This window comes from Homo sapiens, chromosome X (genome assembly GCF_000001405.40).
Source record: "Homo sapiens chromosome X, GRCh38.p14 Primary Assembly".
Classification (NCBI taxonomy): domain Eukaryota; kingdom Metazoa; phylum Chordata; class Mammalia; order Primates; family Hominidae; genus Homo; species Homo sapiens.
Window position 1 is genome coordinate 131,263,386 of NC_000023.11, and position 27,270 is coordinate 131,290,655.

Consider the following 27,270-nt stretch of genomic DNA (forward strand, 5'->3'; position numbering starts at 1 on the left):
TTGACACTCATTATTCTCCTCCTGCAGATGAGGACGCCGAGGCGGGAGAAATTAAGGGACTTGTCTAAGGTCACAGGCTTGTCTGCCTCCTGGGCTGGGGACTTTAATCTCTACCTTAAGCTGCAGTTTAAAGAGAAAGAAAAAGAAAACAAACTTGAAGTTGAGCAAACATGGGGCAGAGACAGCTCAAGGTTATTTCTCTTCATATTTCAATGATAACCTCAGGTTGTGATTTTTAGAATTTTTCTCTTGTATTTTCCTTTTAAATTTGTTATGGCTTTGTAGCCTTTAACTTTTGTTTGCAGTTAGTATCCTTTGAACTTCATTATCTGTTTTCTCTATGATTTCTAAGAGAAAAATCTGCAGAAAAAAATAATTACAGCTACCATTTATGGATTACCTTTTGCATGCTAGGCAATTTACAGACATCATAGCGAATCCTCTAACAACTCTCAGGATTAGGTCTATTATTATTCACTTCAACTTTACAAAAAGAGAGGCTGAGACTCAGAAAGTTTTCATGGCTTGTCCAAGGACATGCAGTTGGTAAGTGGCTAAGTGGAAGATTCAAACCCTGGGCTCTTTCGCTCCAAAGCTCATGTTCTTCCCCATACTATAAAACTGACTGTTTGTGTACCACGCTACCTCAAAAGGGTTTATGGCTTGTTTTTGGTCAGACAAGGAAAAAAGAAAAGAATCTCTGTGTGTTAGCCTTGGGAGGAGGATGAGTGGGAGCTGTTTAACAGAGAGCACAGAACAATGCCCAGGGCCCATGGAAGACAGAGGAGAATGGTGAGCTGTTGGCAGAGTAAGAAGCATCCCCAGGAATTTGTGTCAACAAACCCCTCACCCCGAAGTTGTTGCCTTCAGTAGTGTGACCCTTCAACCACTGAGTGGCATCTGGAACTAAGATGTGATACCAGATGGGTTATTTTCCCTCTCTCTCTGACACAACTAGGCTGACAGAAGGTTTAGAATAAAATGTTGGAACCATTTTGCGAGGTTTGAAGGGTGTGAGGAGTAGGGACAAGCTCATTTCTGAAGAAGGGGAAGGTAAATGAAATCTCATGTTTTCTTTGTCTTCAGGAGGTCTCCAGGAGGGGATGAGTCACTGGAAAATCTTTTGACAGAGCCTTTAATGAAAAGTACTCAGGAACTTCTAATGCTCCCTACCAGGTCTTCCCTTATTAAGTCCCCTAATGTGTGACCAGTGTGTAAAGCAAAGGGATTTGCCCCAAGTTGACTCTCTGATGTTGTAAAATGGTCAGTAGTGTAATAATGGTGACCCTATTAACAGACAAAGTGGCCCTTTTCCATGTTGTCCCAAAGGATTGTCAGGCCTGGCGCCAGCAAGAATTGCTACTGAGGGAGGAATCTTGCCTAGAACTTTTTTGAGACCTGCCACCATCCAGTCTGCTCTTTGTTCCCCTTTGAGCCTGGCCTCATTTGGCTGTTCTCCCTCTGGTATGCCCCTAGCTAGCGTGCCAGCCAAGCTGTTGCCCTTCACACACCCCGCCCGCAGACCGATATGCTTGCTCCCTTTGCTTGGCTGCCAGGGAGAGGATTTATATCAAGATTGCTCAACTAGGAAATGCCGAGTTCCATACAATTCCAATGCTTGCTTTCTGTCACATTTTTGTTATTTCATAGTCTTGACCTTTAACCTTTATGTCGAGAAATCCTTGTGGATGAGTCTACCTTTGAATGATTTGTCTTGCAGCCTCAGGTTTAATATTCTGTGTCTCGAATTATTTTAGATGCCTGGGCTAGTCTGCCTCTGCTCTCATTGACCCGCTATCAATAAACACAGGGTTTGCTTAACAATAAGGCATATTCTGTTTTATGTGTGTACTCACTCTGATCAAAATAGAGATGTTTATAAATGGAGTTCTCTATGGAGGTCTAAGCCAAACCACAACCTGGGCATTTCTATAGTACTTTGTAAATTGTTGTGCAAGTGGTAGTGTTAGATAAAATAACACACTGAGGGGAAAGTGAGTTTTTATTGCTATAAAACTACTTTAACCTAACCTTCTTCCCACACATTTCACCCTTCTGGCCCCTCAATTATGGTAGTAGGGAGCAGTAGGAGAGCAAGAGTAACCCTAAAATCACCAACATTGAAATACAGTCTCTTAAGTCAATACTCTTAGTCAACAACATTTTAACAAAAAAGATTGTCTTTACGCATAGGCCTGTAGTAGGCAGGTGGGAACCTACACTTCAGCAGTTGTATGAGCCAGGGGGTAATTTTTGAGGTCTAGCTTTAGAAGAGTGTGCTCAACCTTGGCTGTGCATGGGAATAACCTGAGGACTTTAGGAATACTAATTCCTGGGTCCCAACCTCAGAGACTTTGATTTAGGTAATCTCGGGGGGTGGGGTGCAATCTGGTCATAGGGATTTTAAAGAGCTCTTTTGGTGATTCTTGTATGTAGCCAAGGTCTAGAACCATTAATCTAGAGCCTTGTTGCACAAAGTATGATATGTGTGCCAATAGAATGAACATTACCTAGGAACTTGTGAGAAATGCAGATGATCAGGCCCTGCCCCAGACCTACTGAATCAGAATCTATGTTTTAACAGAATGCCCTGGTGATTCATATGCACATTAAAGTTTGAGAGGCACTGCTCTAGAAGTGTCATCTCTTGAAAAGCACACTCTGGAAAGAACACTAGCATAGTCAACCAACATGCCCGCTGGCATTCTGGGTTTTTGAAAATATGACAAATAAACCCTATGACATCAATTGCAGAGGGAGTATCTACATCAGTCTAAGAAAGATGAACTCTCCCACTACAGAAAAATGAGAGGAAAAGGTAGACAACTTAGCATGTAGCACTGTTTCTTTCTGGTCTATCTTGTAAGCTTGGATTCTTCTGCTGGTAGTCTTCAAAGACTCATGGATATGGAGAGAGGTGCCAAAAGACTAAATAAAACAATGATTTTCCCCCCAAAGCAAGGAGAATCTACAAATGGTAGCCTAGTGAGTTTGACGTTGTTCCCCAGCAAACTTCTAGAATAGATTATTAAGAAGATGATTTCTGAGCCCTTAGAAAGAGACTTACTAATCACTAGAAACCAGCATGGGTTCATTAAGAACAAGTCATGCCAGACTAAGCTCATTTCCTTTTGGATGGGCTTACAAGAAGAAGCTGCAAAAATTATTTACCTGGGCTTCAGCAAGGATCTTGACAAACACTTCTGTGATGTCCTTTCAGACAAGGTGGAGAAATGGGGACTAGCTGAGAGCATGGATAGTTGAAGGTTCAACTCGTTAAATGATCATATACAAAATGTATGGATTTAATGAATTATTGTAAACCCAGAAAGACACTTGGATCAGGTTAAGATGTTGACCAAATTTAGAACTAAGACCAAGCTTGGAGGGACATTTGTATACATTGTATAACAGAAAATAACAATGTTCATTGTTGTCATCTTCAGGCCTTACACTGGCATAATACTTTTCTAATTACAGAGCACTTTCACATATGTTGTTTCATTTGATCTTCACCACAACCCTGCAAAATTAGAATAGTGATTATGTCCATTTTACAGATAGGAAAACCGAAGTTGAAAGATTCAGTGATTTGCCAAGTGGACAAATACCTATAAAGATACCACATGTTCTCACGCATATGTTGGTGCTTAAAAAAAATTGAAATCACGGAGATAGACAGTAGAATAATGGTTATCAGAAGCTGGGAGGGTAGTTGGGGGTGGGGGGGATAAAGTGGAGGTAGCTAATGAGTACAGAAATACAGTTAGATAGAAGGAGTAAGATCTAGTAGTTGGTAGCACAATAGGGTGACTATAATTAACAATAATTTACTGTATATTTTAAAATAACAGGGTGAAATTGGAATGTTCCTAACACAAAGAAACAGTAAGTGCTTAAGGTGATGGATATTCCAATTACCTGGATTTGATGAGTACACATGGTATGTCTGTATCAAAACATCATATGTACCCCATAAATATATACAACTGTTATGTACCCATAATAATTAAAAATAAAAATGTAAAAAGAGTTTTAAAAAATGAACATAAAAAACCCATATATTTGAGGCAAATATAAAGTTGTATGTTTCAGCTTCAAAACTAACTGCATGAACTCAGAGTGAAGGCAAGTCTTAGCAGTAATTCTATAAAGGGCATGGTAGTTTTAGTTAACTTCAAACTTAGTATGAGCCCACAGTGTTAAGTGGTTGCTAAATATGCTATTGAGATCTCAGGGGTATATTAATGAAAGTACAATGTCCATCACATTGGAGGTGATAGTTTCTTTGTTTCCAAAGTTGATCAGAACATCTCTAAGGTACTGTTTTACTCTGATTATTGCATTTCCAAAAAAAAAAAAGATGTTTTATCCGGAAAAATGAAGACTTAAGGAAGAATTTTGTGTTACACATTTTCTGTGGGTCAATGGGTATACAAGCTGGAATAAGGCAGCTCCCAGGACACTAAAAAATTTCCTGACCATTATAGTTACCTGATAATTGAAGGACAACCATTCTTTACAGTTAGTAAAGCCCCTACCCCTCCCCCTCTAGAAGAGTTCAAGCAGAGGCTGGTCAGCCGCTTGTTTGGTATGTTGTAGAAAGTTTGTGCATTGTATCATCTCTGATGGCTCTTCCAATTCTAACATTTTCCAAGTCTAGAATTCCTTCACTGTGTCTGGATAAATATGGTCAAGTCCAACTTTGGGTCATCAGTTGATGAATTCCCCAAGACTGACTGTTGGGGTCAAAATGGAGCAATGGCTTGAGTAATGATTCTGCAAATTAAGGAATCATTGGCTAGTTTTGACAGGTTTCTTGCCAAGTGCCACCTTTTACAGGATTTGTCTCAAGCTCAGAATTAATTTTGGCCTCTGCTAGCCTGTGATTTCACGTAGATTGTTCCTGGACCTTTTGCATATGGTACCAAAGATGGCCTTCTAAAGTAACCAGGGATTTCACCACAAAAGCCATCCTTTGTAGGCCAATAACTCATGAATGGCTTGAATTTCTCCACAAATTCTTACCACGCCCAGTTGAAAGCATGACTCTAGCCAGGATCCTGCAGAGTTAATTTACCACACAATATGATAGTTTTGGCTTAGGGTCCATTGTTTGGGGTGGGAGGGGCCTGAGGGAATATCTTTCTTCTCCAGACCTGTTGCCACTAGTCATGTGGTTTCCTTTTCAGGGATTTCCCCAGAATGGGGACCATCTCATCACATTGGCCCCCTCCTCAGCTTTGGAATCACTTTATCTCTCTCAGGGAGGGAAGTTGAAAGAATTTTCAACTTCTACAGCAGAGCTGAGTGGCTTGGACTTCTGGGAGGGAAGGGGAGAGATCGGGTCTAAATTTGGGAATGCATGAGTCTTCCTTCTCAATGATCCTACAGGCCAGCTTCCATGCATAAGTGGGGCCTGGACTAGATTTCCACAGGAGGACTGCAGGTTTTGTTGGACAATGATGATGAGTTAGGCCAAGGCACCTCCTTCCCTTGAGAGTTGCAAGGTCAGGATCTCAGAGAAACCTGAGAGAGCATAACTTAGTGGTTATAAACACAATCTTTGAAGCCAGACTGGCTGGGTCCAAATCTTGTCCCTAACACTTGCTAGCTGTGTGACCTAGGCAGCCTACTTAACCTCTATGTGCCTCCATTTCCTTTTTTGTAAGGAATGTGAATGGTGATAGTACCTACCTCATAGATCTGTTGTGAGGATTAAGATGCATAATAAATGTAAAGCACTAGAACAAGGTCTAACAAACATAAGTGTATGTGAGTGTTTGTTCAATAATATACATCAAAGAGTAGGCTGAGAAGGTGGTCAATTTAGTAAAAATATTTATTGAATATCTACTATGTTCCAGATACTCTGCTCACTGAGGTTTAGCGTGGGAGAGTCTGGCTTTGGAAGCAGGCAAACTTGAACTCTAATTCTAGCTCTGCCCTTGCCTATGAGCTTGGTGACCTGGGAGGATGGTACTTAATCTCCCTGAGCCTCTGTTTTTTCATGTGTAATATGGGGATAATAACAGCAAGGAATCTTACACAGTGTTGTTGTTAAGAGAAAATGAGACAGTGCCTATAGATCTGACACATAGAGAGGAGCTCACTAGGTGGTAATACATGACTTCTGTAAGCTGGGATCCATATGATTAAACCCAACAAAAATAAATGGCAAGTCTACATTTTAGTTAAAAACCCAATTTCAAAATAACACATCACTTGCACAAGTAAAGGACAAGAAAGGATTGAATTGGCAAGAGCTTGTGTGAAAAAGAGCTGTGGATTTTAGTTGACCACAAGTTTCCTGCGAGCCAACAGTGTGATCTGGCTGCCCAAGGGCTAATGTAATTTTAGATGGCATTAATAGAAATGGTGAGTTGAGATTCCGGCCAGTGATGGTTCCCTGTCCTCTTTACTCTGTGCTGGTCAGATTGCTGCAGATGTACAGGACTTTATCCTACTTACAATATTCCTGGATGGGCAATGACAAGCTCATTGACAAACTGTCCAGAAGTAGCGACCTGGGTTGGGGGGAATTGGCAAACTCTTTCTTGAGGATGAGATGAAAATAATCTGAGGAGGGAAACACTAAGGCAATATTTGAAACAGTTCTTTCTTCTAGTGAAAATGTTTACAGAACACACCCCACATCCAATCTGTCAGCAAATTCTGTTGGCTCTTTCCTCAAATTATATCAATATTCTGACCATTTCTCATTGCCTCTTCTGCTACCATCCTGACCTAAGCCAGCCTGTCTTGCCAAAATTACTACAATAGTCTCCCAGTAGATCTCTCTGCTGTCACTCTGGCCCCCTCTGTCTGCTCTCCAAACAGAAGGCTGGAGGGCCCTATTTAAATATATCTCCAGTGGCTTCCTATTTCATTCAGAGCATAAATCAAAGTCCTCATAAAAACCTACAAGGGCTTTCTGAGCCTGGTTCCTATTACCTCTGTGACTTCAACTCTTACTCTCTTCCTTGCTTACTATGCTCCAGCCACACTCCTTTACTCACATTCCTCAAACCGGCCAGGCATTCTCCTGTCTCAGGGCTTTTGCATCTGCTGTTCCCTCTGACCAGAACCCACTTTGCCTAGATAGTTGCATGTCTTGCTCCTTCACGTCCTTCAAATTGTAATTCAAGCATTACCTTCTCAATGAGGTCTTCTCGATCACCCTTTATAAATTGTCACAATCTCCCCCACAAAACACATCTCTGTATCTCCTTTCTCTGCTTCATTTTTCATTACCGCACTTATCATCATCTAATATTCCATATACTTTATTACTGACTATATTAATTGTTTGTTTTCCACACTAGAAGGGCAGGGATTGTTGTTTGTCTTTGTCACTACTGTAACCAATGCCCACAACAGTGTTTGGCATACAGACAGCAGCCAATAAATATTTGTAGAATAAACAGATATATAAAATATATCAAAGAGGTGCTCTGTTTAAATCTGATAGGGGTAGGGTAGGCATGAACTTTGCCATCTCTGGAACCTGAATAATTGAGAGTTAACTACATGAACACATTTGCACATGAATGCTGGCCAAACTCTAGAAGCACCACTGAGTGAGCACTACAGGACATGGGGGAGACAACTCCCATCTTCCAAACTTTGGAGGATTATTATGTATAAGAAGTAGATTTCATCGGGGTTGCAACTTGAATCAGAACTAGAGCCAGTGAGTATGAAGGGAGTACACACAGGTAGATACGGAATCAATAGAATGATTTGAGATTCTCAGGTTGTCTGATGAAGTGGTAAGCTCTCTAGCTTTGGAAGTGTACAAGAAGAAGCTGTATATCTCTCTGTTAGTCTTGCTATAAAAAATTTTCTGAAGTGGCCGGAGGATTGATTGGTTCATACCACCTTGACAATCTTTGTAGCTCTGAGATGCTACAGCCAAAAGTCAAAAGTGTGTGAGCCCAAGGATGAGGGGTAATATATGTTTGTTTTTTACAACTTGAGAGAGGTCTTTGGCCTTTCTTCCTGGAATCCCAGAGACAAATTTTCCTTGCAAAAGTTCATTCCATCCTAATTGCGATTCCATTTCCCAGAAATTACCTGATGCTGGGCTGATGATTAGTGGCCAGCCAGGGGTAAAGGGACTGATTCCCATGGCAACCAGGTTGAAAAAACATACCATGTGGAGAATTGTCAGCAACGAGCTACGTTTGCATTATAAATAGATATTTAATTCATTGAGATAGTTTGTGACAACTTCTGCATTATAAATAGGTACTTAATTCATATAGATAGCTCTGACAGCAAGTAGGAAAGTTAAACCCCAAAGCCACTCTTTGTCTTTAAGTATTTCAGAGTTAATTGACAACCATTTTTTTCCTTCTAAAACATGTAGAACTTGGCTAAGTGGGAGAACGGTATATGTGAGTGTTTTTAGAAAGCCAACTAATAGTCCAACGTCACAACATTTCTCACTATTTGTTTCTCACTGAAAGATTTTTCAGAATTTTCCCTGAGTGCAAGAGTATCTCTCTTTGAATCCTTTTGACACAGGAGACCCCAGGTTCAATGTCTGGATTTCACAAGAGTTATTTCCTGTCATGTTTGTCTCACTGTCACCCTGCTTTTCTAACTCAGAGGCATCTCAAAATTTCAGTACTTGGCCCTCTGCTCTTATCTTCCCATTTCTCTTTCCCTTGGTGAAAGCTAAAGCAATCACGTTATCACTTGCTAACTTACACAACTTTACTAGCCTTGACAATATACACTTTGGAACACCCAAAGGTTGGAAAACAGAATCAGATCTGATCAAAGGACGTTTATCCTAAGACTGAGGACCAACTCTTTCCGGTGTTCAAAATATACTGCTTGATTGAGGGTTAGGGATGGAGAGTTTGAGGGCAAAAAGTGGTGTTCAGCAGCAAGCAGCAATTAAGTTTGGCTAAACTCAAATGTAAAAGTAATTTTGAAATGCAATTTTTACAAATACTATAGTAAATTAGTATAAGGGACTAATAGAATCTCATCAAATGGAAATCAGAGTGGGACTTTGTACTTCTACATTCCAAAGAGCTTAATACAAATTAGTCTATAATACTCAGAGTGTTTCATTCTGTAAGGATTAAGGTAAATGGGATGCTTTTTTTTTTTCATTAACTTGCTGTGTAAATATGCTTCCTAATGCAACCATATAGAGGAGTTGCTTTCTAAACTTTATTATAACCAGGGTTAAATAACTCACCAGGTACTGTACCCTTGTACATTGCTCTATTGAACAGTGTTAGCTTAGAATTAAACACTGCTGGGAGGCAAGTTTAACTTCTTTAGGGTCAGATTTGAAGGGGTCATGACCCCCTCTCAGACCTGTAGGTCACTTTTTCTGAGGTCTTTAACAAGCTTTGAGGAACTAGGTAAGCCACCCACCCCATTCCAAACGGCCTAATGGCCTAATGTGTACTGAATTCCCACTCATGGGGCAAGTGGCCTTCTAATCCAGGGGGAAAGATCAGTGGCTGAGAATGGGAGCTAGCCCCCCGCCCCACCATTTCCCCATTTGGAATCCTGGGAGGCGACACTGGCAGGTCCCCTGTTCCAAACCATCCACCTCATCTGCTTACTGGCTTCTTGAGATCCCACCATTACACGCACATTCCTTTGGGAAAATGGAACTCTCTTTAGAGAGGGACAAAGTATCAGATTTGATTAATTGTTCTTACTTAAGAGTGAATTCATTTACACCCTGTGATTGCTAGGTAAGGGTCACAAAGCGCGCTTTTCCAGTTTCAAAGTGCTGCTGAGGGCCAATCCCACTGTTTGAAAGTGGATGTACTATGGACCCAAACGTAACACAATGAAATGCATGTAATGTCTGTGTTTTCCCTCCTCAGGCTCAACTTGGAGAGAGTGTTGCCATTCATTCATTCATCTATCCCATGGAAGGGCAAAAGAATACTCTGGTCAGTGACTATGTGTCAAACCAAATTGGGAAGTAGCTATTTTGGAGCCCCCTCCCCACGCCCATCCTTGAACAACTTTCTCTTTTCTCGTACCCCTGCACTCTCTTATTCTGCCATCGAGATCAGCTCCAATACATCATTTCTAAATTGTTAGTGGAAAACAGACCAATAGAAGACCACAGCCATAGTTTTTGAAGTTAAATAGTGAATACTCTTTTTATTCAGAAGAATGCATTTTTAATAGAATTTCATGCGCCAGTAAATCAGTACAGTGAGGAGTTACAGGGGTGGGGAACCTCTCTTCAGGAAACATCTCACCCTGGCAGAGCTCTCAACTCCCAGAATCCCCTTTACCCAGCTCAGGTGATTAGAGACCAAGGAACAGCAGATGGGGCTGACTTGCAGGGTAACTGGTTGGATTTATAGGTCTCTGAGAGCAAGAGAGAGGAGAGGAAAGCTCTTGTAAAGGAGGAGATTATTATATTGGAACGGGCAGTTCCACAGAGATTCTCTGAGAGGTTGATGAAGGAGAATTGGCAGGGGTGCCTGGTTCTCCTTCTTGGTTACACTCTTCAAGGGCAATGGTCTGGTCTCTTCCGTCTGTCTCTGAGCCTCTATGTAAAGAAAAAGACATGAGTAAGGGAGGACCCAGAAACTGAAAACAGATTGCACGGTGGGGCTCAGATACTAGGGGAGCATTTGTATGATTGTTTTTCTAGCACCACCTGGTTCACAGAAGGGGGCCATAATGAGGCATTTATTTACCTGGTTCGCAGTCGAGGCCACTTCTTCCACTCTATGGCTAGCACTACCCCCAAGGCTACAACAACCACCACGATTAGGCTACTTCGGACAATGTTCCCTACAGTGCACTCCTGAGCAACAGGCCCTGTGGTGATGAAAGAGGAGAAACCGAGGCCATGGAGATTAGCGTGTGTATGTTCCCCTTGATCTGGTATTGCCCCACACTCTGGCCTTCTTTAGGGTTCACGTGGGAGCCATCTGTTCAGACTACAGAGGGGGTGGGCAGTGGCAGAGTTTATGCTGAAGCAGAAGCAGCCCTCCTTTCCTTGGGGAAAAGAGGCCTGAAAAGAAACCCACTCACTATCTTCAAATATATTTAAGGTCCCACCTCCTCATCATCCTTAGGAGAAAGATGACACACTTCAGGTCCCTGGCTCCAAAGCTCCTCCATTCTCCTGATTTGGGATGTCTCCATGGGGACTGTCCCTGGGATCCCAGGTGTGTCACACCAGGACCATGGAGAGATTATTCTCTTACCTGCTGCCCCCACCAGCTCCAGGGGATCACTAGGCTCTGACCAGATATCAGGGTAGGCCTGGAGGCGGTAGCTGCAGCTGTAGTTTCCAATGCCTTTTCCTTCTACGTTGTTGATGACAAAGTCTCCATCCTCTGAAAACTGCTGAGGTGCTTCTTCTCCATCATGTTCTAGGACAAATTCAACACCTGGCAGGGGTCCTCGGCACTGAAGGGTGATGTCCTTCCCTAACTTGAACATGGTGCTGGGCCAGGCTGACAGAGAGGGTTTAGGGGGCTTATCTGCAACCAACAAGGACACAGAGTTAAAAGAAATGATCCTGAACTTAGCCTTTTACCCCCTTATTGCTTACTGCTAAAAACTACAAAATCGTGACTTGTACTGAAGTCTCCAGGACCTTACCAGTCACCCAGATCTCCAGGGAGTCACTGTGATTTGAAGCTGCAAAGGGAGTAGAGTCCAAATAATAAACACAGCTATAGATCCCAGAGTCTTCACCTCTCACTGCTGGCATCCAGAAGTCAGCCCTGTACCCACTTGGCCTCTGTTGCTCTAAAGGCTCCTGAGCCCCCTCCTTCAACAGGACAAATGTTGAGTCTGGCAGTTCCCCTTGACACTGAAGAGTCATATTTTCGCCAGGGGCCACCATGGGACCAGGCTGGGCTAATAGGCTGGGTTTGGGGAGTAAGCCTGGAAGAAATGAACTCCTGGTCAAAGAGAAGAGGTCACTTTCCAGTGCATCACCCCTGGGGTCTCTGCTCAATAAAGAGGAAAGGCAATTGGTTGCCTCTCCTCGAGCTCTCTGAAAACTATCTCCCATGAACTAGTCTATTCCCTCCTTTCTACACTTCCATGCCCACTCGACAGCCTCTTCCCCTTACCTGTGACTAGGAGTTCCAGGGTGTTGCTAGGTTGTATCTTGATAGAACTGGTCCAGTCAGGGTGGTAGCAGCAGCTGTAACGCCCCATGCTAGTACCAGATATATTGGTGATGGGGAATGCCCCGTCATTACTGGTGGATCCCCAGAGCTGCATTGAAGTGGCTTCTCCTTCTTTGTGCAGAATGTATCCTACTCCATGGACCGGCCCTCGGCACCAGAGAGTAACATTCTGCCCCATGGGAACCACAGAACTGGGCTCAGCAAACAACCATGGCTTAGGGAATGTGTCTAGAAAGAGACCAAGGTTGTAAAGTGGTGACTATAGAAACTTATGAGTTCCTGCTTAAATTAACACTCTATCTTTCTCCTCTTGGGCACGGTAGTTCCCCTCCGTGGCCTAGCCTAGCCTTCCAGGAGGAATTACTCTCCCTAACCCCTTCTCCAATGATCTCCATCCCAGTCCCATGTCCGGTCGGTCCTTACCAGTCACCCAGATCATAAGGGGCATACTGAGATATGACCCCCTGTTTGACATGGTTGTCTCATAGTAGATACAGCTATAGTTCCCAGAGTCCTCTGCTCCAACAGTGTGGAGAAGGAAGTCAGCTGAGTTCCCTGAGACACTCCGAAACTGTAAGGGAACATGGGCTCCCTCCTGCAAGAGGGCGAACCTCATGCCCTGGAAAGTCCCTTGGCAGCGCAGGATCACACTCTTCCCAGGAAACACCACAGGACCTGGCTGTGCCAGGAGAGTGGGTTTGGGGTAGAATTCTGAAATTAAAGAGACCACAGCATGAGATAAACCCAGCCCTCACATCCTGCAAATAGCCTTTTAAAGTGTTATTGTAAGACACAATATATGTTTGTTGTTAAAAATTAGAAAATATAGAAAAAAAAACTAATGAAGGAAACACAATTCTACCACTCAAAGATAAATATTTTTAATATTTAATTGCCATTTATTCTTTCCATATATTCCCATGTCCATGTAGCTATAACTGTTTACATAATTGGGACTCCACTTATGCACAGTTGTGTAGTTGTGTAGTATGCAGCTGACATTTCAAGGTCTTCTCCCTTTCTCTGAGAGCCATCCAGCCCACCGGTCTCTGACAGCCCAGCTAGAGAAAAAGTGGACATTGAGCCTAAAGCTCAATGCCAAGCCATAAAAATGTGCAGAAATAGGGCAAGTTGAACCGAGCTCTTGGGATTAGACACCCCCATCTACCTCATTTATTTCCCCAGAAGTGAATTGCTTGCCTCCCCACTGCCTTTGTTTCTTGTTCCTGTAATAATAACATGAGCAGCTGTGCATCATGGACTGGTCACTATGGGCCAGCCGCTGTCCTAAGCACGTTCTCAGTGTGTTTTAGAAGAAACATTTCTTCCTCTCCCACTGACAGCCTTCCACCCACCATCCCAGGGTTGGCACCACCTCTACCTGGAGTCCCCCCTCCTAACCTGTCACCACGAGCTCCACAGGGTCGCTGGGCTCAGACCAGATAGAAAAGTCATAATATCGGCAGCTGTAATTCCCTCCATCACCAATGCCCACCGAAATGATTAGAAAGTGAGCTGCACTGGCCCCCGGACTTGCCCAGGACCTGTCACTGGATGCTATTTCACTTCCATCTTTGTAAAGAATAAAGCTCATATGCTGGTGGGGGGTGGAGCAATTGAAAGTCACTCGGGCACCAGGGGTGACCACAGGGCTGGCCCATGTCTTGAAGAAGGGCTTAGGGTACATTTCTAGAAGGCAAAAAACAAAAACAAAAACAAAAAACAAAATACAACACAAAACCAAATTAAGAACAAGAAAGAGAGAAAGCAAATATAGCAAATATTGGTTCTCGGAGGCTTCTTTGCTTTTAAGTAAGTGCATTTAAAAAGTAAGGTAAATCCACTTTGCAGATGGACTTCTCACACAGGGACCCTTCAACCCCACCCCTCACTACCTCCAGATGAGTCCTCAGTGTGATCAGGGCAGGCAATGGAGGCTAGTAAAAAGGTAGAATTTTTCTTGGGGTTCTGCTGATTCTCTGAGCCTCAGTTTGCCCATTTGGACAAGGGGAAAATGGTACCTGCTTCACCCACCTTGAAGAGTTGCTCTATGGTGAAGTGAGATAATTGATGTGAAAATAATTAGAAAAATTAAATCACCCTCCACGAACCAAAGCTATTAATAACGATTATGGCTATTAATATCGTGCAGCCAGAGGCCCTGGCACTCCCAGCGCCACGCCTGCCTGGCTCTAAGATTGGACACAGGCTCTCAGGACCAGCAGCAAAGTTTGCTGCAGGGAGAGGAGTGTCTGACCCAGGGCTTTGCCTTTCCCTCCACCCTGCCCCCTTTCCTCCCACACCCTTTTCAGCTCTACCTTTTATGACAAGCTCCAGCGGCTCACTGGGCTCAGACCACTTGAAGGGGCGTTTTTCAGTGTGAGTGCGGCAGCTGTAATTGCCTTCGTCTTTATCCTCCATTCTCTGGATTGTAAAGAAGGCTTCTCTTCCAACAGCACCAAGTTGCTGGACAGGTTCTTGCTCTCCCTCCTTATACAGAGCAAACCCCATGCCTGCCAGCCATCCTTTGCACCGGAGTTGTAGTTCCTGGCCCCGGATTGTGGGGGAAGCAGAAATGACAGGTTTGGGGAGGATGTCTGGAAAACAGAATGGGGTGAAAAAGGAGTCAGAAGTTTGCAGTTGCCCAGATGGGATACTCAGGGTCACTTTGTCAGCAAATAAAGACATTCATTCTGGGCTGGCCCTAGGCTCTTCCAGTCAGTCTCCTCACACTCTCTTTCCCATTCCGCCCCTCCCCCTACCCCATAACCCCCTACCATTTCAGTGCCCCTCCTCTCCTACATGCAGCACGAGCCCCTTGGGCTCCAGGGTCCCTGTGAGTTCATTCCCTCACTCCCAGGAGCAGTGTTGGAGTCCCAGGGGCACTGGGGATAACTCCCGGAGACCCTCTACATTTTCTTACCTGTCCCCACCAGCTCAAGTGCCTCACTGGGCTCCGATACAGCCATCTCCTCCCATGAATGGCAGTGGTAGCTCCCGGTGTGGCTCTGGGTCAGGGCGCCAAGGGGGAAGGCAGCCCGGACCTGCTCTGAGGCCGGGCGAGTGGCGATCCACCCGGTCCCATCCTTCAGCAACACAAACTCCTTAGTTGAGCCAGAAGGGCTTCTGCACCAGAGGGTTAAGTTCTTCCACGGGGCCAGAGGAAAGTTGGTCTCTGCCCACAGCTCAGGCTTAGGGGTTGGCATGACTATTTCTAGAAACAGCAGAATTAATGAAGCCATCCTCCCGCCTCCCTTCCCCTCCCTCCTCCTTGCCCTTGAACCCTCTACCCAGATCACACTGCCCACCTCCCCTTGCAACCCAAATCCAAACCCTTTCCTTCTTTCCTTCCTTCCTCAGGTGCTGGGGAAAGGGGAAGCTGGTGTCTTATAGCTGAGCCTCAGAAAAGTGCAGAAGCTTGGAGGAAATTTTGCAGGCAGAAAGGCAAAGTTGGAGGCTGAATTTTGCCAGCAGCTTTAGCAAGTGCCCCTTCCTGGCTGCCCTTCCCTCCCAACCAGCCACTCCCTGGCCAATGACACTGACGCTCTGTAGTTATTTCGGATCTCCAGGGAGGAATGTCCCAGTCTGGAGCAGGAAAAACTCACCAGTCTCTTCTATCAATACCCCATTGCACAGTCCTGCAAAAGAAATTGCTGCCAGGACTCGGCCCCCTCCCCCACCGGGACTTCACCCCGGCCTTCTGCCCGGGGCCCCTTCCCCCACTTGTACTCACCACAGCAGAGAAGGGCCGTGACTATGAAGAGCATGGTGACCCCTTGAGCTGTTCCCAGCAACCAGGCTTCTCTAGTGAGACCAGAAAAGAGATGAGAGGAGTTGCTGGGATGAGGGGGAGGGTGGAGGAAAGGGGGCGGCAATTTATGTCATTGGCTTACTCGCTACCCAATGGGGACTGGATATGGCCAAGATAATGGGATATAATCTTATTTGACATCAATGACTTTTCTTTTTGAGGGCCTTACCACCTACAAACCTCTTGCTCTTTCATGACCCACGTGTCCCCCCCGCCCCCTCCCCACTCCGCAGCCTATATCATATGTCAGCTCCCCATGGCCCCTGATTAGGTTGTTGCTGGAATTGAGATGTCAGATGGGAAAATGCTTTTATATTATTTGGAGCTCTCAGAACCCCTGGAGCTCATTGTGATCGGCAGCTCTGGGTGGTGTGTGTGGGGGTGGAGGGAGAAACTGTGAGTATTTCTCAGTCATCAAGTTTAAGTTCGGAAGCAGTTGTTGTGGCAGTATTGGTCCTCAGACCCACCTGCCTCACCTGCCTTTGTTATGGAAGGGTTGCCTAGGCAGCTGTGATGAATTACTAGAAGATTGGCAGTGCCGAGCCAAGCTTTTCAGAGAGTAGAAACTCTCCCCTCACCCAGATTATAACTAGAAATGTGCAGCAGCTTTGGGTCATGAGTCTTGTAGTATTAGATGATATTAACCCAAAATCCATCGGACAATTTTTACTTAGAAAACACTGACCATCCTTCCTGGTGAGGAAAACATGATTTTCAAGCTGCTTTCTCTGAAATCTGGTTCCTGATCTTATTCTTTGATGCAGTGTTGCTGGGCTGGGGTGGGGCACATAAAGCTACATTTTTTTTTTTTTCTAACCACTGGCTTGGAGATTACTCTAATGAGTACGGGACCCAGGTCAGGTTCCGGAAAGAAGTAGAACTTGACCCCTGCTGAAACTTTTTGAAAACTCAAAGGGTGGTGGTTTTTGCAGAAGGCTTAGGTGGCTCCCTTCTGATTGCCCAAGTATTCTGTCCCTCAGATTCCAGTGGAAAACACAGACACATGTAATCATAATCATAATCCATTGTGCATTGAATACTTCCAGACACACTGACCACAGTTGCAGGGCGGGGGGTACAGCCAGAAGCAGGGAGTAGGGGGAAGTAGACAAGGTATTCAGGAGCTAACATCCCTACTGGGTCAGAAGTGGTCATTTCTCTCCTTGTTCCCAGTAGAGTAGCCTGAGCACAAGCCATGGGGATGAGAGAGGCAGATGGCCCAGAGCACACCACAGAATCAAAGGAAATGGCAGGAGAATCTGTTTGGCCTGTGAGTTTGTGAGTCAGAGGAAACAGTCTGATTCTGTTGCCCCGTCCAATATCACATCAGATGGCCATCCAGGTCAAGTCTATATTCCCAGAATGCTCTGCACAGGTGGTTGGAGGCCACAGTGTCAGAGACTGGTTACTAAGGCAACTAGGATGCGTCACAAGGCTTAATAGCTCCTGAGAGCTAGGGATAAGGGTGAAAAGTTGGGATAGGAGTTGGATAACAGTCTGGGAGACAGGACAGCATGGCTTCTTACAAGAGGAAAAATCCAGAACAAGTTAATGAGGGAGACATCAATCATCTCTGAGGGCAGGATGGTTTGTGGGCGAGATTTGGGCACCCTCCGGGGGGGATGTCAGTGAATGCAGTTCTGATTACTCCTCTTGCCTCTGAGAACTATGCATTTCTCCACCCGCTGGCTTGAGTGCTGACCCCTCTGTGAGGCGAAAGAGACAGGTGGGGTGAGAAAGTCTTGTTCCCTAAGCCCAGAAGATAGGGGTTCTATAGGGTTTGCCTCTGTGGCTTGTCTCAACTAGGGCATGACTCATTCTTCAGACTCTGTTAGGTTGGGGAACAGGGGGCTGGGACAAGACAGTTACCTGATTCTGAGTCTCCGACACTTCCACCTTATCCACAGCACTACCAACAGCAAGGCAACAAGCTGCATGATTAGAGACAACCTGATAGCTTCATTCAGAACGTAATTCCAGGTGAGATAGCCTGTGGCCAGAGAAGACCAGAATCAGAGGCCTTGATGGGGACAGGGGCAGGTGAATACATTCATGGGGTGAGGACAATCTGGTTACTGACAGTGCTTATATTGAGAAGGTGAGGCAGAAGTGGCCTTCTTTTTCATGGAGAATGGGAGCCTTGAAATTATCCTGCTAACTGCCTTTGAGGAATTGTGAGACCACCCCAGGGGAAGGGTGCTGAAACCCAAGGGCTCTGATTTTCAGGCCTCTGACTCCCTTTCCCATATCTTTCTGGGCACTGATCTGGGATCCCTGGGGTATGGAGGGGCATTCCTCTGAAGAGTTATCCTCTCACCTGCTGGCCCCATCAGCTTCAGGGGCTCACTGCGATGTGACCAGATGTTAGGATGTGTCTCTACGCGATAGCTGCAACTGTAGGTCCCTGTGCCTTTCCCGTCAACATTACTGATGATGAAGTCTCCGTTTACTGAGAATTTTTGGAATGTTTCTCTTTCTTCCCATTCCAGAGAAAATTCCAGTACTGGATGAGATACTCGGCACTGAAGGGTGATGGCCTTTCCTAGCTTGAACACAGTGCTTGGCCAAGCTGACAGGGAGGGTTTGGGGGGCTTATCTGAAACCAATCCAGAGACCAGAGTGAGAAGTGACCTCAAACCCAGTACCCTCTCCCCCAGAAAATGTTTCTGAGCTCCCCATTTGATCTTCTCTTCCTTTCCACTTCCACTTGGCCAGTGGCTTCAAGATTTGACTGTGCATTAGAATTCCTTTGCCCACCCCTTGGTGATCTAAAGATTCCTGGTTCCTTACCTTCAATCAGGAAGACCTCATACCTGTAAGCTTCCTCTGGCCTAAAGAAAAATAATTTTCCCAGGGGTTACAATGGGGCTGTGCCATACTGAGAGGTGGAGCTTGAGGAACAATCCTGGGAGACAAGGTCCCTAAAGTTTTGGAAGAAAGTTCTACACCACCTTCCTAGTGCGTGTGTGTGTGTATGTGTGTGTGTGTTTTGCTCATAGCTCTCAGAGGATATGAGGCTACTAGCTCCTTCTTACAACACCACAATGATGATAAAAACAAACAGGTTGATAATAAAAACAGTTGTTAACACTTGCCTACAACCATAAGCTCCACAGTGTTGTGTGATGGCATCCTAATGGAGGTCTTCCAGGTGAGAAGATAGTGGCAGCTATAGATGCCAGTATCACTGTAGGTTACATTGTTGAGGAAGAATGATGTGTTGTCATCGATGCTGGTGGCATCCAAAAATTGAAGTGGTTTGTCTTCTCCTTTCTTATAGAGTGCAAGACCCACTCCATCCACTGGTCCTCGACACCGTAGGCTCACATTCTGACCCATTTGGACCACAGCACTGGGCCGAGCAAGTAGCCAGGTCTTGGGGAAAGTGTCTAGGATGAGACCCAGAATAAAAAGCACTAGTGATTTCACTTCCTGCTCCCACTCCTTAAGATTCTTTTCCTTCTCTTCCTCCAAACCACCCTTGGAAAAACCTGCCTACACCCAGTTTTACAAATTCTGCTCCCTTCTCTACTGTTAACCCTGGCCACAGGATTAGGTTCTCCAGGGAGCACAGAGGGAGATTTATATCCTTAGCCGTTAACCTAAGTTTCATGGCATACCCGTCTCTTACCAGTCACCCAGATTTTCAGGACATCACTAAGGAGTGAACCTCTATATGATGCGTCATAGTAAAAACAGAGGTAATGTCCAGTATCTTGGATCTTCAAAGACTGGAAGAAGAAATTTGCCTCATTTTTTATTGTCTTCTTGTGGTAAAAGGACTTCTCCAAGTCTTCAACCCTCATTAGAGCAAAGGTCATTCCATAGATTGGCCCTTGGCACCTGAGATTCAGGCTTTCTCCAGGTGCCATGATGGGCCCAGGATGGGCTGTCAAAGTTGGTTTGGGGTAGAGTCCTACAAACGGAAGAGACCCTAAAGTTAGAGGCAAGATGATTCTTTCCTGTTGTCTTCTGTTTTCTCTTTCTTAATTTCTTTGAACAAGAAGTGGTAGCTGAAGTTTACCTTCTCTTCCCTATCCCTTCCTTGGATCTCTGCCTCTGTAACATAATCAAGGGTAGATTCACTTATGCCCCTGTTCTCTCTCAAGAATCTGCCAGCTTCACTGAGCTCTAACCATGTGTAGGGGTGTATCTCAGTGGAAGATCTACATCTATAATTCCCTGTATCTTTAGGCCCCTGAAATGCCAAATGTAGTTCTTTCAACCACCAGAAAAACCAAACCTCTGAAAATAACATTGTTTTCATCTTTGCAGAGCATGAATGCCACTGAAATATTAAGGAGAGCTTTTGAATACATTAAGCTCATTTAAGACCCTACTTCTACAACAAGACTGAAAGAAGCCAATAAAGAGGGTTTGGCCAGTAAGTCTGCGACCCAAATAAATCTTTGTTATGGGGCCACACATTCCTTTCCATGAATTGTTTCTCCAAGGAGATTTTACATGAAAGTGAGGGCAAACCTCACCTCCTACCACTCCTTCCTACCCCCACCCCAATGCCAGGCACACTTATCTATTCATTAAGGAAGGATCAGCTCTGTCATATGCTCACTGAGCATTTAGTATGCATCAAGCGTCATGTAGGTCTAGGTGTGTATGAGTAAAGAAGACACAGTCTCCGCTAGCAAAAAGCTCATGAACTGGTTGGTGGGGGATATTGGTGAACAGGTAACTACGGAAGTGTATTTTAGTGGAATCTATGCTGAAAGGGCATGAGTACAACAAACATTCATACACTCAGTTCAAACAGGCAGTTTTTGTTCTTTGATCCTCAATAAAAAGCTATACTAACAAAATTAATATCTACCATTTATTGAGAACTTATATGCCAGGCACTGTACATATATATTTAGGCAAATCCTCACAACAACCCTGTGAGGTAGGCATTATTATTAAACCAATTTTGCAGATCAGGAAGCTGAGGCACAGAGAGAAGCATTACACAGTAGATCAGATAGATACTGTTATCCCATTTTTAGAGTAGAGGAAGCCAAAGCACAGAAAAGTGAAGTGACTTGCTCAAGACCACACAGGGAGGCAGTGTCAGAAATAGAACTAGAAACCAGTATTACTGCTTCTAAGTCTAGGGTACTTTCTGTAGCACCACAGCTTTCCCCAAGCCTATTTAGCTGGATAGAGAGACTAAAGCAAATGTGGCCAATTCCATCTAGAAACCTCCAGGCCATGGGGTGGGGGAGTTCGGGCTGGGACATGTCTGGCATTTTACATTTTGGGGAAATTTCTTCTATATTTAGAGATTGGTGCTGCCTTACTAGCTCTACTGATAGGGAACCAAGGTGATTTATAAAGCCATTTCTAAAATATGAGCTATCACATTCTTTGTCATTTGTTTTTTTTTGTTTTTACTCACCAACACTAGCAATCCATTCTGTTTTCCACACATAAAAATAACAATTACAAATAAAATACATTTGCAAATTTAAAACTCCATTTATAAGATTGCAGTGGCAGTGCCTGGCACATATTAGGTGCTCAATAAATACTGGTTGAATTAATGAATGAATGCATGATATTCAACAAGTTGAGAACAACAAAGCTGTGATGAGCTGAAGCTGCTGGCCAGTTGGCTGGGCTCCTTTACTAGCCAAATGATTGGCTCCCATACATCTGCCTTGCAGCACATGCCATTCTAATTTATATCTCAGTAAAACTTCAAACGACTGTAGCTCATGGGGCCTTGCAGGGCCTAGAAACTGGCTGAGGAAAGTAAAATCAGAAACCCTAGCTCAGCCAGCCATGATACCTGGGACAACAATTGCCAGATGCCAGCAGCCATAGCCACACCCACCTGCTACAACCAGCTTCAGGGGGTTGCTGGGCTCTGACCACAGGGTGGGGAGCATCTGGATATGAGTGCGGCAGATGTAAACCCCTTCATCCTCAGGTGTCAGGTTGTCAATGGAGAATATGGCCATTGTCCCAGTTGGGACTTGGTAATCCACAGGCTCTGCATATCCCTCTTTAAACAGCATGAATACCAAATCCTGCAGCCAGCCATGGCAGAGGATGTTAACATTACACCCAGGAAGAGCGGGGGTCTCAGCCTGAATCCAGAAGATGGGCTTGGGCAGTTGGCCTGGAAGGATAGAATGAACTGGAATTAGGTAAAGCAAGGATAGTACTGTCTAGGGAGCAGCAGAGGAGAGCTCTACTTTAATTGAGGTTTCCCTGTATGATCCTTGTTTGCCACCCCTCCTTCTCCTATCTCTGCTCCAGAGTCTGCATCCCCCCTCTGCATTGCCCAATACAAAGTAGGCCCTTATTTACTAACTGTGGGATGCATGCTTGCATGCATTTGTGAAACAAACTCTCCCCTGGAAGGCAAGTTTGAATCTCAGGAGCTGGAGTTGATTCTTGAGTATCACTGTCATCTTACCTGGTGCCTCCAACTCTAGAACTTTACTGGGCTTTGACCAGCCTGTCTCCTTCCAGTAGCAGCACCGGTAAAGACCTGCATTGGACTCAGTAAGGGCACCTATAAGGAATGAAACTTGGAAGGTCTTGTGGGAAGGGCGGATCCAGGTCATCTGTGTCTTATCCTTCAGCAGCAGGAACTTGCTTGATATCCGAGAGGGGCTTCGGCACCAAAGCGTGATGTTCTCCCAAGGGGCCTGGGGGTAGTTGGACTCTATCCACAACTCTGGTTGAGGGTCCATCACTGTTATTCCCAAAGATCAAAAAGATATGAGCAGTCCAACCCTCTCCCTCCCATAACATGTCCCACAATGTCCCTTAAAATTAGCCCGGACCCAGATCCCTCATTTTGTCTTCCCTTGGGGACAGGAGTGTGCTCCTGTGGGGCATCGTATAAGAACCCCAAGATATTTTGTCAAGGGGTCCAAATGAATTGGAGAATAAAGTCTGATGGTCTCTTTTCCATCTGAGATAAAGCTTTTTCACCATGCCATAGGAAACCAAGTCCTCTGATTCCCAATCAGCCCAATCTATCTCTGGAATCTCAAGGCATTATGTCCAAGGTCATGGAGACACGCCAGCATCTTGGATCCTTTAGGAAGGAGGTGCCTGAGAGGGCAGGACTCACTTACCTATTGATGTCATACCCAGACTCATCCCTGAAAAGAGAGATTATGGTAAAGGAGAGCTCCCTTGTTGTCTCCATCCTGTGCTCAAACCTCAATACTTTCCTCTCCCACCCCTAATGAGTGGGTACCTATGACAGGGTCACTTGCCCCTCACCCCTTCCTTGTACTCACGAATGCAAAAGAGCAAAACAGTGAATGTCTTCAGCATGGTGGCCCCCTCCCCTGGTCTGTCCAGGGTCATGGGGCCTCTGGTGCTGGCTGTGTGCTCTGAGTCTTGAAGAATTTTTCTCCTCAGCAGGTGGTGGGATCTAAAAGCAGAATTGTTTTTACTCAGAGGACTTGTCCTGCTCCTTAAAGTTTAGTTTAGATGGCTAAATTGCACTTGACAACCCTACATTGTACTTCCTCACAGGCATGCAGGGTATTACAAGGTCACCTGCTGCTTCCTCTCCTTGCTCCTTTCCCTCACTTCCCTATCCTGCTCAAGGTCTTTGTTGGTATCAAAGATGTCAGATTTGTTGAAATATGGATTTGTCTCTGGGATCTCAGAAGCCCAGAATAGCCTGCAGAAGCTCCACAGGATGGGGGAGATGGGAGGTGCAGAGTCACCTTTTCAGATATGCATATATATATATATACGTATGTTTATATACGTATATATATGTGTATATACATGTATATATATGTGTGTATATATACGTATATATGTGTGTATATATATACGTATATATGTGTGTGTGTGTGTATATATATATATAGAGAGAGAGAGAGAGTCCTCCAACAACTTAAGAGAGGGGGCATTACTACCATCCCCATTTTACTGATGAACAAACTGAGGCTTAGAGAGGTTATATAATTTGCCCAAAGTCAAAAGATATTAAATATTAGAGCCCAAATTAGAATCCATGTTTAACTCCAAGGCCTATGGATCTAAAACAATGATTTAAACTCCCAGAGGTACCCTTCACTCCCTCTTCACCCTCCCTTACCCCTCTCACTTGATCCCTTGGATATCCTTCCCTTCCATAGAATGCTTTAGATCCAATATTACTCTCATTCTTGTCTCCTACCCCTAAAAGCTCAATACCCCAGTGTCAAGCATGTGTTAGAAAATCAAGCTGCTTGAGTTAATTTACATAAGGTCTAAATGATTCTTTCGTTGCCCTTAACTTCTAAACAGTTTTGTTGATTGCCTCTAAGGGAAATGGAATTGTTTGAATCTCAGGAAATACGGCAAAGATATTTGAGTTCAGGGAGGCTTTCCATTCTCCCTGACCAAAGTCATTATTTACCATAGGCCTTGCATATACACAAGGTAGACTCTTGAGCTTTCATGCCTCTCTCCACCTCCCCCCACAGTAACCTTTCACCAAGGGAAGGTATGTCCCAGCCACGCAAACTCAAGCTAATTCTCTTCCACCAACTTTCTACTGGGAGTCTGAAGTCCTGGCTGACTCCAGCTGTTATTAAATCTTAGCTCAGAAGAGTGGGGAAGAGGCAGCTCCCAGAATAGAGAAAGGAACTGATTTTGCTTTTCCAGACTGACCTTGGACCTCAGCCTCAAACTTGCCCCAGTGCTAACACTGGGTAGGATGGAGGAGCAGGAAGAGGAGGATATTTCGTGTTCAAAATATCTGGACTGTAGGGAACAAGTGGACAGTGAGAAATCCAAGGAAGCATAGGTCCATTGTACATTTTTCACTTTGTATCAAAGGATTTTCAGATTACCCACTCTGAATTTTCCTTATCTGTAAAGTGGAGGAGTAATATCGACCTAACATTATTGTTGTGTTGGGTTAGAGATAATACATGTACAGTGCCAGGCACATAGTGAACATTACATTTTAAAAAGATGCTTATTTTTTCTTCTTTTCAAAGGGGGCATCCAACTGGTGTAGGGCCCTAAAGATGCCCTTTCCATCTCAGTTCCTACAGTCCCTTGCTCCCACTCCTCTCAGGGCCAGGCCAAAGCTTGGATGCTACCCTGTTGCTTTGTTACCCTGGGGCTTTGGGCCAGGAGTTTTTGGGGGAAGCCAGGTTCCACTGCCAAGGGAGAGGTTCAACCTGGGATTACACCCAGGAAATGCCATCTGAGGTTTCAGCCTTGCCACTTGGACCCCTAAACCAGGATCTTTGCCTACTGGGGGATTGAGGGGAGTCAGGGAAGCTGGGCTTTTTGGCATGGCTGACCCCTCCTCAATCACTAAGGAAATTGTACCATTTATATTCAGCCCAGATGATGAATCTTATACCGGGGGAACATGAGAACAGCCCCAAGCCTTGGGTTAGTTGGCCACGCCCATTTTGGCCTTTCACCCCACCCCCACCCCCAACTTTGGCTGCCTAGCCGTTTTACCCTTCCCTCCTACTCCACCCCAAGCACTTTCCCCACCCTTAGGCAGCGCCGCAGTGCTTTTGAGGGTGACATATCTGAAATGTCTAATGGCTCGCCCCCTGCATAGCTTTGAGGGCTCCAGGAATCAAAGGGGTTGGGCTCGGCGGGGTGCCGGGTACATGCTCAGCTGAGGGTTTGGAGGGAAGACTGAGAAGGAAAAGGGGAGATATCTACAGTGCCCAGAGATTCTCACCGAGGCAGGTCTGGGATCCGGGAAGGAAAGGAGAAAGGCAGGAATGAAGCGGGTGGGGGGACAGACTGGGGAGCAGTTTGATTTACGGCAATTAATTACAGCAAGGAGACTCTTTCGGGGTTTTGTTTAGGATCCGGTGGCCAGTATTTAATATTCAGCCACTGAACTATGCGCTCATTTGTAGGTACTTACGGTAGTTGAAGGCCCGCTCCGATGTTGGAGATTCTCCAGTGAGCTCCTCCAGATGCAGCAAACTGCCCGGCATGAGAAGAGCTGTCTAAGGACAGCCTCTTCGGCTCTGAGCCCCGCCTTCCTCTCTCCCCCGCCCGCCTGCCGGCCCGCCCCAACCTCCTCCCCTCCCTGCGCCGGGCTCGGGGAGCCCACCTACACCAACTCTGCCTGGCACCTGCAGTCCTCTGACGACGGGGATTTCTACGCCCCTCCCAGCTCCCCGCCTCTCTCCGGACTCCCTGCAGAGGTTGCTGGAGCCAAATTCAGGCCCCTGCCCCCTCGCCTGTCTCTCAGAGTTTCACTGGGTCACTGTATTGTGGGGGGGAGAAGGCCAGCTCTCAAGAAGATTTGTAGATCCTTCTCTCCAGCTCCCCAATACCTTTATCGGGATCTCAGATCTTCCCCTGCCCATTTTAACGCCCCATTTATGCATAAACATCACCACAGTTTAAGTGCCTACTGTGTGCCCCTGGGCCCTGGGATCCATTATTTCTCATCTTCAGAGCAACTCTGCAAAATAAGTGTTACTCCCCTCAGTTTTACAGATGAGGAAACGGAAACTCAGAGAGGGTTAAGTAACTTGGACAGCCTTCAAAGTCCATCTTGGGGTAAAAGCCCAGGCTTTAGAGACATACAAATGTATATTTTAGTCCACATTTTACATTCAATAGTTGTGTGACCTCAAGCAAGTGAGTAAACTCTCTGAGTCCCAGGTTCCCCAACAGTAAAGTAAAAAACAAACAAACAAACAAAAAACAGCAGAACCTATTTCACAAGGCCTCAATGGGATGATGTAAGTAAAACTAACAGCACAATAGGCCTAGCATGTAGTAGGTGCTCAATAAATGGTAGTGGTTGCTGCTGCTACCACTACTACTACTACTATTAATCTGTAAGCCCTTCCCCAAATGTCTTAGAGTAACATGATTTTAATAATATAGAGCAACCTTTCACAAATGTTGATTATGAAAGACTTTTTATAATGATAATGTATGAATAAGACACTAATCAAAGCTCCTGATATATAACATATGATGAGATTAAAGTATAGCATCCAATGGGCTCACAGACTAATTGATAAGAAATATCAACATGATAGACTAATTGGCTAAAAAATAGACAAATTTTTCTTTATGTACATTTCCTTTTTTTTAAGACAGTCTCACTCTGTCGCCCAGGCTGGCGTGCAGTGGTGCGATCTTGGCTCACTGCAACCTCCACCTCCCAGGTTCAAGCAATTCTCCTGCTTCAGCCTCCCGAGTAGCTAGGATTATAGGCGCGCACCACCACACCCAGCTAGTTTTTGTATTTTTTAGTAGAGACGGGGTCCCACCATGTTGGCCAAGCTGGTCTGGAGGCTCAGCCTCCTAAACTGCTGGGATTACAGGCGTGAGCTACCATGC

At 45.1% G+C, this 27,270-nt stretch overlaps 1 protein-coding gene across 12 annotated transcripts, besides 4 other annotated features; it reads right to left on the bottom strand.

Moving 5' to 3' along the window:
* Positions 944-1,445: an enhancer, noted in NCBI's record as "H3K4me1 hESC enhancer chrX:130398303-130398804 (GRCh37/hg19 assembly coordinates)". NCBI's record gives its function as "activates a minimal SCP1, AML or CMV promoter by ChIP-STARR-seq in naive H9 embryonic stem cells {active_cell/tissue: H9 hESC(naive)}" and the evidence as "EXISTENCE:reporter gene assay evidence [ECO:0000049][PMID:30033119]".
* Positions 1,446-1,945: an enhancer, noted in NCBI's record as "H3K4me1 hESC enhancer chrX:130398805-130399304 (GRCh37/hg19 assembly coordinates)". NCBI's record gives its function as "activates a minimal SCP1, AML or CMV promoter by ChIP-STARR-seq in naive H9 embryonic stem cells {active_cell/tissue: H9 hESC(naive)}" and the evidence as "EXISTENCE:reporter gene assay evidence [ECO:0000049][PMID:30033119]".
* Positions 10,121-26,072, bottom strand: IGSF1 (immunoglobulin superfamily member 1). Of its 12 annotated transcripts, none has more exons than NM_001438813.1 (21): positions 26,025-26,072; positions 25,829-25,890; positions 23,220-23,356; positions 23,052-23,078; positions 22,382-22,663; positions 21,794-22,081; positions 19,595-19,879; positions 19,059-19,352; positions 18,281-18,559; positions 17,833-17,953; positions 15,886-15,956; positions 15,758-15,790; positions 15,076-15,366; positions 14,471-14,749; positions 13,554-13,841; positions 12,576-12,863; positions 12,093-12,380; positions 11,614-11,901; positions 11,214-11,492; positions 10,698-10,821; positions 10,121-10,546 (listed from the first exon to the last, which is right to left on the bottom strand). In NM_001438813.1, the coding sequence occupies exons 3-21, from the start codon at positions 23,287-23,289 to the stop codon at positions 10,411-10,413; spliced, it is 4,011 nt and encodes a 1,336-aa protein (NP_001425742.1). In that variant the 5' UTR covers positions 23,290-23,356; positions 25,829-25,890; positions 26,025-26,072; the 3' UTR covers positions 10,121-10,410. The 12 variants fall into 12 exon arrangements, with proteins under 12 accessions (NP_001425742.1, NP_001425741.1, NP_001425740.1 ...); NM_001438812.1 differs by having other exon boundaries at positions 26,021-26,072; NM_001438811.1 differs by having other exon boundaries at positions 15,758-15,805; positions 26,021-26,072.
* Positions 14,679-15,227: an enhancer, noted in NCBI's record as "H3K4me1 hESC enhancer chrX:130412038-130412586 (GRCh37/hg19 assembly coordinates)". NCBI's record gives its function as "activates a minimal SCP1, AML or CMV promoter by ChIP-STARR-seq in primed H9 embryonic stem cells {active_cell/tissue: H9 hESC(primed)}" and the evidence as "EXISTENCE:reporter gene assay evidence [ECO:0000049][PMID:30033119]".
* Positions 15,228-15,774: an enhancer, noted in NCBI's record as "H3K4me1 hESC enhancer chrX:130412587-130413133 (GRCh37/hg19 assembly coordinates)". NCBI's record gives its function as "activates a minimal SCP1, AML or CMV promoter by ChIP-STARR-seq in primed H9 embryonic stem cells {active_cell/tissue: H9 hESC(primed)}" and the evidence as "EXISTENCE:reporter gene assay evidence [ECO:0000049][PMID:30033119]".

Coding starts and splice junctions, on each gene's coding strand:
- IGSF1 (NM_001438811.1), bottom strand. CDS start 23,289: ATGACCCTGGACAGACCAGGGGAGGGGGCCACCATGCTGAAGACATTC. Junction 15,957..17,832: donor TGTCGGAGACTCAGAATCAG/GTAACTGTCTTG, acceptor TGGTCTCACTAG/AGAAGCCTGGTTGCTGGGAA. Junction 15,367..15,757: donor GGTATTGATAGAAGAGACTG/GTGAGTTTTTCC, acceptor TGCTGTTTCTAG/AAATAGTCATGCCAACCCCT.